This window comes from Homo sapiens, chromosome 4, assembly GCF_000001405.40.
Source record: "Homo sapiens chromosome 4, GRCh38.p14 Primary Assembly".
NCBI lineage: Eukaryota > Metazoa > Chordata > Mammalia > Primates > Hominidae > Homo > Homo sapiens.
In genome coordinates, this window is record NC_000004.12 from 158,761,218 (window position 1) to 158,778,185 (window position 16,968).

At 40.8% G+C, this 16,968-nt stretch overlaps 1 protein-coding gene across 4 annotated transcripts in view, besides 2 other annotated features; it reads left to right on the plus strand.

The window, feature by feature from the left end:
- Positions 7,550–7,759: a silencer, noted in NCBI's record as "silent region_15773". NCBI's record gives its function as "represses an Ori minimal core promoter by ATAC-STARR-seq in GM12878 lymphoblastoid cells {active_cell/tissue: GM12878}" and the evidence as "EXISTENCE:reporter gene assay evidence [ECO:0000049][PMID:35858748]".
- Positions 7,717–8,454: an enhancer, noted in NCBI's record as "H3K27ac hESC enhancer chr4:159690086-159690823 (GRCh37/hg19 assembly coordinates)". NCBI's record gives its function as "activates a minimal SCP1, AML or CMV promoter by ChIP-STARR-seq in naive H9 embryonic stem cells {active_cell/tissue: H9 hESC(naive)}" and the evidence as "EXISTENCE:reporter gene assay evidence [ECO:0000049][PMID:30033119]".
- Positions 7,809–16,968, plus strand: part of FNIP2 (folliculin interacting protein 2) — a 139,025-nt gene continuing 129,865 nt past the window's right edge. For all 4 annotated transcript variants that reach the window (XM_005263158.3, NM_020840.3, NM_001346043.2 and 1 more), the window contains exon 1: positions 7,809–8,102. In XM_005263158.3, the coding sequence (XP_005263215.1) occupies positions 7,996–8,102 (107 nt within the window). In that variant the 5' untranslated portion in view covers positions 7,809–7,995. The remainder of the gene's footprint in view (positions 8,103–16,968) is intronic.

Sequence of the window (16,968 nt, forward strand, 5' to 3'; positions counted from 1 at the left end):
AATACACAGAGGAGAGCAGAGCCAAGGGAATCCCAGAGAAGCAGGGGTGGCTCTAGTATGCCATGGCTGGCCCCTGTCCTACCTCTAGACCTAACATTTTATGAGGTAAAATGTCCTCTTATTGTTTAAGCCAATTTGGGCTGGAGCTTCTATTACTTGAAGTAAAAGGCAATAACTGATACAGTCTGCTTTGTCTCAGGAAGAGGATTTGGTATAAGAGGGAGAAGAGAGAAGGCAGATAGTATTACATGTTAGGTGATTCAGAAAGGCAAAATTCACATTCAGAGTAGGAGACCCAATATTGGTGATGCTGAAGCAAAAGGGCTTTGGGGTTAAGCCAAGTAATCAAAAACAAAAGTCTAAGTCCCCTATACGATCAGTTTCCTAATGGGGACTTACAACTGAACAGCAATGATCTCTTCTTCCTCCCAAAATAAATAAATGGAAAAAGTTAAGAAAGTCTTCCTCATCTAGCAATTTCCATGGCAAATTCTTTTGTGAGGGTCTAGAGCTTACCATGGTGTAGGGATGGCAAACTCCATTCATTTATTGACTCATTCATTCATTCAGCCAACAAATACATATCTGAGGAGATACCATGTGCCAGGCATATTAGTCAACAAGTCAGTCTCTGACCTAAAGGAGTATATATGTTTAGTGTGGGACAAAGGTGTTATAAATTTAGTGTGGGACAAAGGTGTTACAAATTTATTTATTGGTTAATTACAAATTATTGTAAGTGCTTTAAAGAAATAGAAAAGGGTGGTATAACAGAAACACTGGGGGCAAGGTCAGAGCTTTTAATTAAGAACACAGATTGAGGGAATCAGCCAGTCAACATGTGAATAAGTGACATTAAGTTGAGACCTGAAAGATAAATGGGAGTGCTGGGTGCAGTGGCACACACCAGTAATCCCAGCACTTTGGGAGTCTGAGGCCAGTGGATTGCTTGAGCTCAGGAGTTTGAGACCAGCCTGGGCAACAAGGCAAAACCCCGTCACTACAAATACAAAAAAAATTAGCCAGGCGCGATAGTGTGTGCCTGTAGTCCCAGCTACTCAGGAGGATGAGGTGGGAGGATCACCAGGAAGCAGAGGTTGCAGTAGGCCAAGATCACACTACTGCCCTCCAGCCTGGGTGACAGAGTGAGACCCTGTCTCAACAACAACAACAACAACAACAACAACAACAACAACAAACACATAGGAGTTAACCAGGCAGAACTGTGGGATGGGGGTGGGAGCACTCCTGACAGAGGAGGCTTGGTTGAAGAAATGAAAGCACACCAATGTGGCTAGAAGACACCAAGGGTGAGGTTGGGGGTGGGTGATGTGAGATGAATTTAGCGAGGAAGGCAGGGACCCAAACCTCTCTTGGCAATGCTAAGAATTTTGGATTTTACTAAGCGTGATGAGAAACCACTAAAAACTTTTAATCGAAGAAGGGACATGAAAAAAAGTTACACTTATAAGTGATCCCTACAGCAGCTGCACTAGAGTAGATAGGAGTTGGGCAAGAAAGTAACCAATTACTACTGCCAAAGTCCAAGAGATAAACGGGGCTTGGACTAGGGTGATGGCAATGAATAGAGAAATAAATGGATGAGAAATATTTTGGATGATGAGATAAATAGAAGGATTAAGGATGCTTCCTAAGTTTCAGTTTAAACAAATGTGTAGAAGGAAGGTGCCATTTACTGGGATAGGGAAGATGGCAAAGGAAGCAGGATTTGGAACAAGCAAAGATAAAGAGTTCAGTGTGTGATGCTTTTAAGATATCCCAGTGGAGATATTAAGTAGGTAGCTGGTTGTAAAATTCTGAAGAGAGGTCAGGACCAAAGGTAAAAATTAGGTGTCATCGACAGATAGACGGCATTTAAAGTCACAGGGATGGATGAGTTTATCTAGGGAGCTTAAGAATACAAATGAGAAGAATAGAAGTGAGACAAGAGAAGCCCGAGGAATTTCATACTTTAAAGGATAAGAGAGGCTGGGTACAGTGGCTCATGCCTGCAATATCCCAGCACTTTGGGAGGCCGAGGCAGGAGGATTGCTTGAGCCTAGCAGTTCTAGACCAGCCTGGGCTAATAGTGAGATATCATCTCTAAAAAAAAACATTAAAAAATTAGCTGGGTGTGGTGAGTGCCGGTGGTCCCAGCTACTCAGGAGGCTGAGGCAGGAGGAATGCTTGAACTTAGTAGGTCAAGGCTGCAGTGAGCTGTGTTTGTGCCACTGCACTCCAGCCTGGGCAACAAAGTGATATCCTGTCTCTAAATAAATAAAGGATGGGAAAGGAAGACCCACTAGTGGAGACTGAGTAGCCAACAAGTTTAGTTAAAACTAGAAGAGGTCTGCAATACTGAAAGATGAAAGTTTCCAAAAGGAGAAATGGTCAGTTGAATTGATTGCAGAGAAGAGAAAAATGTCGCTTGATTTCAGCACCATGGAGGTCACTGATTGCCACTGTAAGATTGTCAGGTGGATGGAGCTCTGCAAATACCGGAAGAATCAATTTATAGGATTCATTAGATTCAATGTTAGATTTTGAGGTTTTCTTCCCTGAGAGCTTCTGCTTTTTATTTGTTGTTGTTGCTGTTGTTTGTTTTTAAACAGGGTCTCACTCTGTGACCCAGACTGGAGTGCAGTGGCGCGATCAAGGCTCACTGAAGCCTCAACTTCCCAGGCTCAAGTGATTCTCCCACTTTAGCTCCCCTAGTAGCTGGGACTAAAGGCGCATGCCACCACGCCTAATTTCTTTTTAACTTTCTGTAGAGACACAGTCTCACTATGCTGCCCAGGCTGGTCTTTAACTCCTGGGCTCAAGGAATCCTCCCACCTCGGCCTCCCAGAGTGCTGGGATTACAGGTGTGAACCACTGTGCCTGGCTGGTTCTAACTGCTTATAAGGATGGTTATTTCATTATTTTTATTCTTTCTTAGACTCTCACTTTTTCCAAAAATGTAAATTTCCCTTTAAAAAATATAATAAAACTCTATCTTGCAAGTCCCACATAGGGTCCACTGGACCCTTTCATAACTTAACAGGATCTTGGTGATTCTGATTTCCTCTAGCTCCAGAAATTTTGCTATATCACTATCCTAGGGATTATTTCAACATTTTTCAGCAATTCCCAACTGTACAAGACAAGACAAAAATAGTTAAGGTGGGTGCTATAACAGAAGCACTGGGGACAAAAGTGAAATAAATCATCGCTATTAGATGATTCTTCCTTTATCTTATTGTAATGCCCAAAACACTGTATCATCTTTTAAGAGGGTAGAAAAAAAATCTGGAGATATTATTTTAATAGTATTTGTTGTTTTTTTTAAAGCTTTCGTTGATAAATATTCAGAATTTTTCATTTTTTCCCATAACGGCAAAGAGAAGAAAATTGATGAAAATATTTCTAATAATTAGAAAAAGCAGATGTCTAATGCAAAAAGACAGAGGACTCTATACTTTAAAGATGATGGTGAAATTTTATTTATTTAATTTTATTTTAGAGACAGGATCTTGCTCTGTTGCCCAGACTGGAGTACAGTGGTGTGATCATAGCTCACTGCTTCCTCGAACTCCTGGGTTCAAGTGATTCTCCTGCCTCAGCCTCTTAAGTAGGTAGGACTACGGGTATATACCACCATGCCCAGCTATTTTTTTTTTTACTTTTTGTGGAGAGAGGGTCTCATGCTGTTGCCCAGACTGGTCTTAAACTCCTGGGCTCAAGCAATCCTCTCACCTAGGCCTCCCAAAGTGCTGGGATTTATCGGTGTGAGCCATCGTGGCTGGCCTGAAACATGTAAGTGAAATCTCAGATTATGAGTCTTTAGATAATGATATCCTAGATACATTTTCTCAAACTCAAGAACTGACAATTCAACAACATATACCTAAGGATAAAAAGGAAATAGGGTATTCTCATCCAGTTTGACATTTAATAGGAATTACTTCCTTATTCAATACTTTGCAACAAGAACCTGAGCCATCCTAAAAAAGTGTGATATCTTGTCATCTTTCATGGTGTTGTGCATCCAATATACTTCATATAGTTTATAAGATAACAAATGATAAAGGCAGATGTATATATACAAAGGTGAAGGGAAGGAAATCTATAAGGAAGAGATGAAAAAATTCATTGGATTGCTAATTCTACTTGGTGTTTATAAATCTAAAAATGAAAATATTTTGCAACTAAGAAACAAAGAAAATAACTACTGTCTCTTCAACAAAATGATGAGCCATCAAAGTTTTCAAAAGCACTGCTTTTTGTTTATTCAAGTGCAAGCAGCACAAAGGTAATGATAAGTTAGAATCGTTAGAGATGTATTTGATTCTGGGTGTGGTGGCTCACACCTGTAATCTCAGCACTTTGGGAAGCTGAGGCAGGTGGATCACTTGAGGTCAGGAGTTCAAGACCAGCCTGGCCAACATGGTGAAACTCTGTCTCTACTAAAAATACAAAAAATTAGCCGGGCGTGGTGGTGGGTATCTGTAGTCCCAGCTACTCTGGATGGTTAGGCATGAGAATTGCTTGCACCCAGGAGGCGGAGGTTACAGTGAGGCAAGACTGCGCCACTGTACTCCAGCCTGGGTGACAGAGTGAGACTCTGTCTCAAAAAAAAAAAAATGTATTTGAAGCCTGGAATCAATATTTATAAGATGATTGTGTTCCTGGTTCATATATGCTAATTGATAAGTAGTCAGTTACGTTCAAAGAACACTGTCCATTTAGGGTAAATAATCCTTCAAATGCAGGAAAATATAGAATAAAAAACGGGTTTGCTGTACTGAAATTAAAAATTTTTTAAAGAATTATTTTTCACTATTCCTTTAGTCTTAGCTCTGTAAATAATTTGCAAAATCACTTAACAGTATGAAAAAACAGAACAGGACCATTGGTGACAAGTATTTTCTCTGGCATATTGAGAGATAAACAGATTGGCATTATGTGTCTCACATAACAAGCAATAAAGAGGACAGAAAACACGAACCTGCCTCAGCCTCTTATAGACTGGTCTATAAGAAAATAGAAATATTATCTCACCTAATGGAGAGTGTCAGGTTAGGGCAGAGGGATTGTGGCTCAATAATGCCATCAAGGACCCAGCTCGCTTCTATGTCTCTTTGCCATCTCCAGTCCTGGTTTCATCTTTAGGCTTGTAGCAAGATGGCATTAGACCTAGACATATAACATCCAAAGGAAGAAAAAAACCCACCTATCTCTCTCTCTCTCTCTTTCTATTAAGAGTGAGGAAACTTTTTCCAGAATTACTCCTTTTCCTCCAGCTCCTTTCTCTCTTGCCTCCTGTTAGGAATAAGGGTAACAGGTATTACATAGGCTACAAACGGTATCAATGACAGTCTAATTGCAGAAGCAGAACTAAAACAACTTACATAATATCCACTAATTGAGAACTGTCACCAGGACTCAGAATGGACCGGACTAAGTAAGTCAGCCCTTTACAACTTCCCCTTTCCCATTTTAGTGTTGTTCTGTCATCTCCAAGCATTCAGGATATTGTCTTATTCCCTGCTCCTCTTGACAGCTGCGTACAAGAACAGCCAGCTGGTATATTTTCCAAGATAGGGTGAGTGGGAAGAGGTGAATAAAGGAGATGTATGGAACTGGGCGATGGGCCACGTGACCAGTGTTGGAGACTGAGATTATGACAAGCCTCAGGGACCAGGCAATGACCAATGGATGATGGGCAAAAGATTGGATTTTTGTAGCGGCCTTGAGTAGCCAATAAAATAAAATAAAAATAAAAAACAAGAAGACTGGGAGAGCTGGCTAGAGCTGTCTCCCAGAACTTTTTTGGCTAGGATTTTTGTATACTTTAAAAATCCAAAGGAGGAGGTGTGGCCAGAACCAGGATGAGGAAGAATGTGATGCTGAGAGGAAGCACAGGGAGAAAGAGGGGAGAAGGGAAGCATTTTGGTTCCTTTTGTCTCCTTTAACTGAAGTCCTGGCTTTAATAGTTTAAAATACACACTCTTCCTTTATAGTTGCCTAGTCAAAACCAAAATTGAAGATGATGGCTAGAGCAGGTTATGATTTTTTAATTGCCTCTTTTGGATGATCTTGTCTATTTGGACTGGGTTGGAACTGAAAGAGTCCTAGGAAGTGAGGAATGAGGCACAATATGTCAAATTCCTCTTCTATATGCAGTTACAAAAGCTGCTAGGCTCATGAGGAACATGCAGATTTTAGTCTGGAGAATAAAGGACATTTTCTGACCAAGGATGGAGTAAGGAAAGGTGGTGAGTTGCTGGCCACAGTATGACCTGGGACTGTATCTGAAAGTCACAACGTATAAAGCCAATACCTTCTATATAGCATCCTGACCAACACTGGCAGCCCTATGAGGTAAAGGCCTTCAGCAAACAGAAATAGCAAAGTTGCAAATTAGGGTTCTGTGTACACTCAATTGTGCAAAAGGATGATTGCTCATCAGGATAAACACTTAATCCACCATTTTAACAGTAAAAGTCCGAAGGAAACAAATGACTAAGTTTCCATTTCTACCACCTTTCTCTTACCTTTGTGAAATTTCAGCACATTATTCACAGCTAGTTCCCAACCAAGTCCAGAAACTAACACAATTAAAAAAAGAAAATGCAAAGTAAAATAGGCCCAGAATAGGTTCTTTTGATTACTTATGTTTTTGGAAATATATTTTCCTTTTTGAGTCTCCAAGAGTCCTCCTCTCAACAAGTGTAAGAGAGCCCAGGTGAGTCACTGTTCACTACTCATGGAGAAGCTAGAAGAGGCATGGTTGGGGTCTTACTAACTTTATCTCTATTTCCCATCATCGGAAAAATTCGTGAAGCCCAACGCTCTAAAACATAGATTAAGAAGTTGCTTTGAGTCTGGTAACGTGTCCTACACTGGCTGTTTAGAGCCCTGCACCACCAAGGATTAAATTCCAAAGGGGACTGGGGTGGGACAGGGCAGGAAAGCGGACTCAAACACATGAACTCCTCCCTTCCTCAAACCAAATATCTGCTGCTGATATGCCTTGATTGACTGTTAAATATGTATTAGGAAAAACAATCCCTTGCTATAAAATATCTTAAGTTTCTAAATCTATGTAGTGAGTTCTGTGTGTGTGTGTGTGTGTGTGTGTGTGTGTGTGTGTGTATGTTTTAAAGGGGGGACTTAATATTTCAAATGCAACTTCTTATATAACCATGGTATGGTGGCCCAAGACGCCAAACAGAACAAATGATTTGGATAAACAGTTTAAATTTTGTGAAAGCCTGGAGGAATCGAATTTGGACATGGAGGAAACCTGACAAAACCTTGGGTGCTATGTGATTCAAATCACAGCCCACCGAAGCGGCCACCGCGCGTACCAAGCCTTCCCCCCTAGCATACGCCTTCTGTGAACGGGCTCTTGTACCTGAACAAAGCGAGGACCCAAGTTCAGGGGCTTTGTCTCTAAAGAACAAAGATCGGCCTAGCTGCATGCTCGCTGTGCGAAAGAACCCAGGCTCCGTGGGAACCCCACGCCACTCGCGGAGCTGCGCCCCGGCGGCCGCCCTCGCCCCTCGGGCCCCTTTAAGTGCCGCGCCTGCCCCCGTCCGCGTCCCCCGCGTGCCCGGAGTACTGGGCCGCCCGCCCGCTCCTGGCCGCACCTCCCACCTCCCGCCTCCCGCCGGGGTTACGTGAGCCCGGGGCGGGCGGCCGCCGGGCCAATGGCCGCCGCCGGGGCCGCCGCGCTCCTCCCGCGCCGCCGCCGCCGCCGTGGGGCTGCGGGCTCCTCCCGCAGGAGATAACTGTCAGCGCGCGAGGCGGTGGCGGGCCGGCTCAGTCATATGACCGGCAGCCGGCGGCTCCGGCGCCGAGCAGAGTTACTCAGTCGCAGCGGCCCCGCGCTCCCGCAAGGCTGGGCGGCCGCGCCGCCGCGATGGCCCCGCCACCGCGGCCGCCGCCCCCGGCTGCGCGCTGAGCCGCCGGCCCCCCGAGCGCCACGGCCGGAGCTGCGGCGGCGGCATCATGGCCCCGACCCTGCTCCAGAAGCTCTTCAACAAAAGGGGCAGCAGCGGCAGCTCCGCGGCGGCGTCTGCCCAGGGCAGGGCTCCTAAGGAAGGACCCGCCTTTAGGTGAGGGGGCGCCGGGGGGCAATTCTGGCGCGGGACCCGAGTTGGCTTCGGTGCTCGCCGGGGAGGGGACGGGTAGGGGAAAGGGAAGGGACTGTCCAGGACGGCGCTGCCTATCGCCGGCACCTGGTCCCGGGCTTGTCAGCGTGGACGCGCCTGATCCGAGTGTGGCTCCGGACCCTCCGTGACCCTTCCTCCCGCTCTTTCTCCACAACTCAGGGTCCTTCCCCATTTCAGAGTTCTCTTGTGTTCCTTGGGGTTCCCGGGCGTGCGCTGTGCTTGGCTGTGGCGACCGGAGATTCTCCGGTTATTGGGGTGAACCCCTTCCGGGCAGAGCCGCCTGGGCACCTCTGCGGGCCCAGCAAAGCTGTGAGCTGTCATTTTGAGGGCAGCTCCAACCTATTGTGTACGTGACAGTGTTTTGAAGTTCTGAAGGAGCAACAGTCACGAAAAAGGCATCTTTCTTCTTTCTTGCCATATATGACAAGCTCTCAAACGGATGAATGAAAGTATGTAATTTCCACATCATGTGGAAGGTTGATGCCGCATGATGTGTGGAAAGGGGGAGTAAGATGCAATTATGAAATTTCCGAGATTTCAATTGATCAAAGCTGATATGTATATTTAATAGATTTGATCTCTCGAACACATACCTTTGAATATTGATAGCATTTATGGAGAGCTTACTACCTAAAATGCTTTATGTTGATTTCTGTCGTTTACTTTTCTGACAATGCGGTGAGGTGGGTGCTATTATAATTCCCATTTTACAGGTGAGGAAACTTAAAGTCACAGATAACTTAGGCGGCTTGCCCAAAATCCAGCTGTCAGTGGTAGAGCCTGTGTTTTGACCCAAGCAGTTTGACCACAGATTCCAGTCTTTAAAATCCCTATGCTATTCTGATTTCAAGGGCTAACTTTTAAAAGACGCCTTAAAATGTCCTATATTGCCTTTGAGCACAGGTATGTTGAGAAGTTTATTTAACAATTTTTCAACACATTTTAAAATTGAGCACCAACTCCCAATTCTGACACTATGCTAGGTGCTTTTTGGCCAAAATGTCTTGCAAAAACAGTTCACTGTTAAACAGATCTAGACCCAGTATAATAAACCTTTAAAAGTTTCAAGTGAAACTTTGAAATAAATTCTGGATTAAGTTTTATGTTCTAGATTTTGCTTTTCTTGAATTCCATCATTTAAAACAGTCTCTCACTGTGGTCATGTGAAAATTAAACGTGTGTGTGTGTGTGCACGCGCGCTCATGGAAGGCATATTGTGAGGACCTTAAACTCCCCAAGTTAAATTCTCATGTTTTCTTTAGGCTAACAAGCCTTATAATTTGAGTGGGAATTCTATGCCTTTTGTTAGGCTGAGTATTAGTGATGCCATGTACCTTCTCAGAATGGTAGAATTACTTCGGACCTAAGGTGTGTAATTTCGTCCCTTCCCTCCCTGTAACCCAGACTCCATCAGGGGTACAAAGCCTGGAGCGGAAGGAGCATGTTACAGGTGTCTGTACTTTGACAGCTCTTGCCAAGGACATTTAAAGCCATTTGAATGCAGGAGGAGATAGTGGCGGTTACTTGTCATTGTTTTCTGTGCTCCTTGCCTAATTGCCTACCACCATTTCCGCTATCCACAAGTTTAACTGAGTGTATTTGAACAAAAAAAATATGGCTATATTTAGGGTTTTGGGCCATATTAGGGAAATTGATTCCCACTTCATGGGAACATTTTCAGTAGTGTTCTGACTTCTCATTTGTGTATAATGAAGAACAGAAAATCGTGCCAAGTACGGTCTTTTTTTTGACCTCATTGGGATTTTCTACAAGAATTTGAGATCGATGTTTTTGGAGAATTTGGGGATCCCAGTTGAACATCCTACTTGATGAGGGCCCCCTTCAATAGTGTCCCTGATAGAGGTCACCATGGAAAAGAAAGTAAAGTAGCAGATGTGAGCAAGGATGCTGGACGATGGGAACAAACCATCCTGTGCTCACCAGACTGACAAAGGAGACCCCAAGCAAGTCTTTCCTTTTGCTCTTTTCACCTGGCTTAATTCTAAGATGCTGTGTAGCTGGCCTGGGAAAAGCTTCCAGGAAAATTTTTCTCTCTACCTAAAAAATTGTGAACCTGTGTTTCATTTTACCCAGATTTTGCCAAATAGGAGTTGGTATGTACTTTGAGGGGAACAAGGTGCCTTATTGCAGGGCATTAGCTGCCCTTGGGAACTACCTTGTAGTTAAATAGAGTTTTAGAAGTGAAGCTAAAACCCTTAGATTAAAAATCGAGTATTCCTAACATGAATTTGTATTCTTTAGTGCATTTAAGTACAGGATGTAACTTGTTTATCTGGAGATTGAAAATTCACTGAGGATTCAGGTAGACTTTTGGGGCAGTTTTGTAGTGTATATGGGGGAGAATCTAAGATCCAACTTTTTGTTTGTTTGTTTTAGAGTTTGTATATCTTCTGTTTCCATGATGGACTTTCACTGGTTATTTTAAACTTCTCTTCTCAGAATTGTTTTGCCCTTGTTGTTAGTCTTTTTACTCTTGTGCACTTCCTAGTCCCTTCGCTGGGCTTATGACTGTTCTCATTCCTCCAGTTTTTACACACTTGATTAGAGAGGAAATCTGTTGTCCAATATAACTAGTTTATCTCACAGGTCATTTTCAGGACTTCATGTTTCCTGGCATTTCATCTAAAAACAGGATCATCATAGTCAAGATTTCTTCTGGAGTATTTCCTTTAGGATCTTGACAGAAAGCCCTTTTCATAGCTTTGAGGAAACAGGTTGCTAGGAAAACAAAAGGAATCACGATTGACCAAACTTACATGTTTGGGAGAAGTAGTCAGGAATGCTATATGATTATGGCATTTACATTTGAATAATGCTTCGTACCAGAAAAATAAATTAGGACAAAAAAAATGATGTGTACAGTGACTCAAGTCAGAAATAGAATTATGTTCTTGGTTACCTTGGATTTAAGGCCAGGATGTTTTCAAGCCACGCTATGTCCAGTGACTTACATGTGTGGTTCACGTTTGAAGCATTATCTTAAGGTTGTTCTTGTTGTTGTTGTTTTTTTCTCCATGTCTTTTGTAAATTAATGGAGCAGTTTCAAACCCCTAAAATGTGTATTTAGCAGGGAGGTGAAAAGACCTTGGGCTACCAGATGTTCTTTTATTTTGGAGCAGTTAAATGAAGTAGGGAAGCATATATATTATCTGGGATATGAAGAACAAGTGAAGGCATTGCAGCTGCTTGTTAGCTAGCTGTGTGAATGCCAGAGAAGAGTATACCTAAGGCCAAATGGCCTAGTAAGTGCTGATCCCCACTGTTTTGTTAGAACAAATTTAATCTGTTATAGAGTTAGTATAAGTATAATTTAATCCACTTATCACATAGCATCTGATGCCTCTGTGCTTGTGGCTTGGCGCTCTACCTGTATAAATCCAGGCAGGACACCCACGGTCTCACCTACTGGAGTTTACAATCTAAAGGACAACAGATTATACACTAAGATGAATAAAGAGCAGACAACACATTGGAAACTATAACAAACAGATAAACACTGATAAAGAGTAGATTTTTATATAAGCACAGAATTAAGAACTTACTTGCTGTTCTTGTGCTTGGAGTGACTAAGGGCCGGATTGTGATTTACTCTTCCCTCACATGGAGGGAAATTACACAGAAGTGCTTCCTCCGCTCCCACTAATAAGTCTCCAGATGCAAGTATTTCTAATGAGATTTGTTCTGAGGTAGGGTGGATAATATTTTGGAAAAAAACAGTTTTGTTCTAGTACACTCAACATTTTTAATGCCAATAATATAAAACATGACATATAAATAGCAGTTTTGATTTCTTTTGACTACTTTCTAAAAGAAAGTCTTTCTGTAGATTTTTCTTGCTTGCTGCCTTGGATCTATTGGCACACTCCTTACATCATATCTCCTTGTCCTGAAAGATACTATGCACTGGTTAGTGATTTTTTCAGAGGTGAAGAAGGGAACCCTTCCTTTGAATGCAGTGAGTTCTATTAAGAGCACTTGGAACACAGATTGAGGAAGCCATTGATTTAGCCCTGCCTCATGTACCATGTTGATGGGAGACCCAACAAGACTCCATTTCTCTGATCCTCAGCTTTGTCATTTGTAAAGTGACAGCATCAGACCTATGTAACAAAGTTGTGGTAAGGAAGTAATGAGCTTGAAAATCTTTTGAAAAGAATAACATGCAATACAAACTGATTTTAAGTATTACTAAGCATCTTTTTTTAGGTCATGGAGTTCAGTATTATTCCTGTTGAGGCTTTACGAAAATGGAACCATTTTTCAGAGGCTGTTTTCTTTCTGTAGATGAGAGTTGAGACAGTGCTGAATTGAACTGTTTTCACTTGCATATTAGTTTTTTAACCTTGATGTAGTCATTCATGAAACAGAGACCTTAAGTTTTCAGAGGGGTCTTAAAGATGTTCAGCGGACACTCACTCAAACCTGGTAGAGGTGACGGGGTGTCAGAAAGATTCTTAGAAATATGGTGTGTTTGTTTTTTCAAAGTTATTTGCAAGTTTTTATTATTAAGAATAAAATTGCATTTAGCCAAAAAAGGAAATTGGTTAAGCAAAATGATATAGTCACACAATGGATGACATTCTATAGCATCCAAATCATAATTTTATACACAGACACACAAAACAAAAGAAAAATGTTCTCAATAGAAGAAGTAAAAGCAACTCTAATAGCCTGACTTCACCACTGTGCAATCTATGCATGTAACAAAATTACACTTATACCCCATAAATTTATATAAATTTTAAAAAGTAAAAGCAAGTTATAAATTTATGTGAAAAACATTTAAAAATAGGAGCGATTATGCATGTGCAGAATAGGCCAGCAACACTCTACACCAACATATTATAACAGTGGTTGCCAAGAGGTAGGTGAAAATTTTATTTTAATTTTTTGTGTTTTATTCTTGTTGGTATTTTTGGATTTTGCTCTAATGAATTTGTGTTACTTTTGTGATTTGGATTATTTTAAACCTAAATATTCTAGATTATTTAACTATTAGATTATTTAACTATTTAAGATAACTTAAATAGCATTTAGCATATTCTACACTGTGAGGGAATAGAGTAAGGATAATGTTTATGGAGAAATCTGATTTGAATAAATTTCATAGAATCTTTCTTCTTCATCAAAATAACTGTTAGCTCCTATTATTAAAAGTAATATGTTTGTTATGAGGTTTAATGTATTTAAAATCTAAACTCATTATAAACCTCAGAGGCTAAGTTAATTGGCAGTGTCAATAATGATAGGAGATATGTATGTGCAAAATGTTTACTAGTTTGACAGGGTCGCTACTTCACCTGAGCTTCAGAGCCCAGTGTAGTCTTCCTGGGGGCTCAGAGTACAGTTAGGAGCTGCATGCAGCTCAAGCTTTATTTGAAATATGTTTAGAAAAGACTGACACAGCCCTTTGGATTTTGAGGGAATGTGGATAAGAGGCCTGGATTAGATGTTTTAAAAGCTAAAACATGTAGTTATAATTTTAAGTCCTGAAATTTGAATTTGTTGTATTATGCATTATTATTTGATTTAGTAGGTGGTACTAAGAGATGGACGGAGGCATGTGGTCTTTTAATGCATGGAGTATATAGCTCCAAAAAGAGCATTGGTTTTTGTTGTTGCTTTAGGTTGTGTTTCTCGTGGTTTGCCTGTAAGGTCAGCCTAAGGAAGCTACTTTGCCGTTGTGTTTCCTTGGAAAAGGAAGCTGTAAAAGATTGTCCTTGCCGTCATGAAATACTTTGGCTGCCAGCATGAACTCCTGGTGTGTGAATCTGATTTGGGAACTGGTAATGTGCTTTATTTCTCCAGCCACTGTTTTTCTTGGTGTGGGTGAAAAGGAACAAATGTTTTGTACTGATTGTACAAGCCCCTTGCTTAGTGTGAATTGTTAGGCCTGGACTATGAGATCATATACTTGGCTGTAAAAGTAAGTCTTTCCTTTGGATGTAAGAGTGCTGAAATATTTGGTGAGTTCCTACTTACCAAGCATTCTTTATCTCAGATTTATGAAAAATGATTATTATGTAAAAAAAGGAAAAACAGGATGGACTTTTCCAGCTAACTGGGCATGTAACAGTGATTTCCCTCAACCCCACCCCATCTGTAAATGGAACATCCATGACTCACTACTCATGGCCACACAGACACTTTTGTAACCAGTGCTTGAATGGGAGGGTGGGATGGGGATGGAAGGAGATGGGCTGGCACCCCACTTGTGTTCAGCCAGAATCTGTCCAGCTGCCTTTATAATGGACTTCTGAAAAGGACAATGTGCCTTCTCATGCATCATGCTACATATTTTTTTTTCCTTATTGCACTTTCTGTTTGTGCCAGAATAATACAATATATTAAGTGCAATAAAATGTAGCCATTAATACTATAATGTTGTGGATAAATGTTGTATAGCAGAGTACTCTTTCTGTTATATAAGATTTTAGTATTAGCATGAGTTTGGATCCCCGATTATCATATTTCTGTCTCCTGAACTGTGTGCCTTCATTTCTAGGAATTATTTTTCTAGTTATTTGTCCCTGTAAACTTGTTTAATTTGTAGATTATACTTTAGAATTTGTGTCCATCATAGTGCTATAAGAGATTTATATATTGGTTTATGAAGATGATTTTATTACCACACCTAAGACTTTTTAATCATAAATAAGAGATTTCTGTATTTGATATATATCTTTAAATAAATGATTGGTGTTTGGTTATGTGCTGATGTCTAATTGAAAATGACAACCAATTCATGCAGGGTGTCTAAGTGAGAATGAACACTGAGGCAGTAGGAATTCATCCCAAAAGCTGAGGGGGGCTAATTAAGAACCTACATATCTGGTGGGGACCTCAGCCTGATTCCCAGTAAGGATAGTTGCATGTTGTCATAGCAACTCTTTCTTCACAAGTTGAAGACAAGTTAGACGTTAACCTGCACATTCCTCAAGAGATGAAACAGGTGTTGATTTAGGATGTGTTAGGAAGCAGCAGCAAATTCACCAGTTCAATTGATTCTGGCTTTAACACCTTATAAATACTTCAGACTGCCAACTCTCTCTCTGATATGCCTGGAAAATTGGACATTTTTTGTCTTATAGTCAAAACCTTTGGGGTTATGGGGGGAAAAGTATGTTATCATTCATTTCTTCATTAGCTATCCTCATTTACTCAAGTTCTTTTATAAAATATGATTTAAAGATAGTTACAAAAATACCTTTTAAATTCAATGCCACAAAGTCTTTTAAAGCATACATTTGAAATAACTGTAAATGAAACAAGAAAACGTACATGTGATAGTTACAGCATGGCTGTGAGAGTTCGTCTAAATCCTAGCCTTGCCATTGTGTCTCTGCTTTTAATGCAGTGCTTGGCAGGAAGTTGGCGTTTAATAAATACCTGTTGAATGAATGAATGAATTCAAGAGTTTTGAACACTGATGATCCTTAAAGAGTCTCTAGTATTCCAGAATCTGATCTCTTGAAATATTTCTTGATGTTTCTAGCATGCGTTGTGACATTTTAGAAAATGAATCTTGTTACAGACAACTCAAAGAAATTTCCTCCTTTTTGTCAATATTAGTGAATTATTTTCCTGGTATCAAAATGATAGGGTAAAAGTGCTCTAACAGTTGATTGACCTGCACCCCCACCTCCCTAAAAAAACCTTTAAGAAGACACTTGCCTAAGTAATATATCAGAGATCCAGTTATGAAATCCCACAGCTGTCAGAAATGACCTACTGAAAAATGATTTAAATATTTATGAAGCTATGAAATTGTTAGCTGTGGGTTGATGATGTAGAACTCTTCTCTATATACTTTTCAGATTCATTTGAATTCTTGTATGGCTTGGTAAAACTGAAATACATTATGGAATGAAATGAGCAAATTGGTTCTCTCAAATTTAAGATAATAGTACACTTAATTGTGAAAACAATATTGATATTCTGAACCCTGCGAAGACTATATTTGCATGTTAAATGAAGTAAGCACTTTAGAAAAAAGATGGAATCATCTCTGCTTTCCATGTATGATTTTTCCATTTGAGAAACTAATTTAGAAATGGATTTGCGAATCTGACATGTTCTTTAAAAAGAATGTGCCAGACTAACATATCATTAATGGTGGCCTACCCTGTGTGAGGAGGTGAGCCATGAGTAAACATTTTCTCCAAGCATATCAGGCAATGACTGTTTGCTTTAGAATGGTACATTGAGTAAGTTAGTTGCTAGGGCAGAAGGGGGCGGCCGGAACTACTGGCCCTGCCCTACCCAGAGGGCAGAGATGGACCCCTGGTAGCCACTTGGTGCTGAGTGCACAGGCTCCACGGAAGACCATGTGGACGCTGGTAACTGGCCCTGCAGTGGGGTTGCCATATATTGCTTAGTGCCATGTGTACCTGAGAAATTGCTTATACATGAAATTATGATTTTATTTTAAGATTTTTTCAAACATATCTGGTTAAAAGTTCATATAAAATATGTTGAAATGTAAGCCTTTTCACACCCCAATCCCCCTTCCCAAAGGCTACCATTGCTGTACCAGTTTCTTTCGTATCCTTTTGGAAATACTCTATGCAAATACAGGAAAAAAAATTCTTTCCCTCAGACAGAGTGGTAGTTGCTGCCTACACTGTTCATCATTTTGCTAAAAGTTGCTTTGTATTCCTTTGAATAAATTCATGTATAACACTTAACCCAGTAGTTCTCAAGTCTGGTCAGACACTAAAGTCACCTAGAGAGCTTTAAATGTCCAGACTGCTTCTCAGAGATCTTGATTTAATAGATCTGGGCTGGG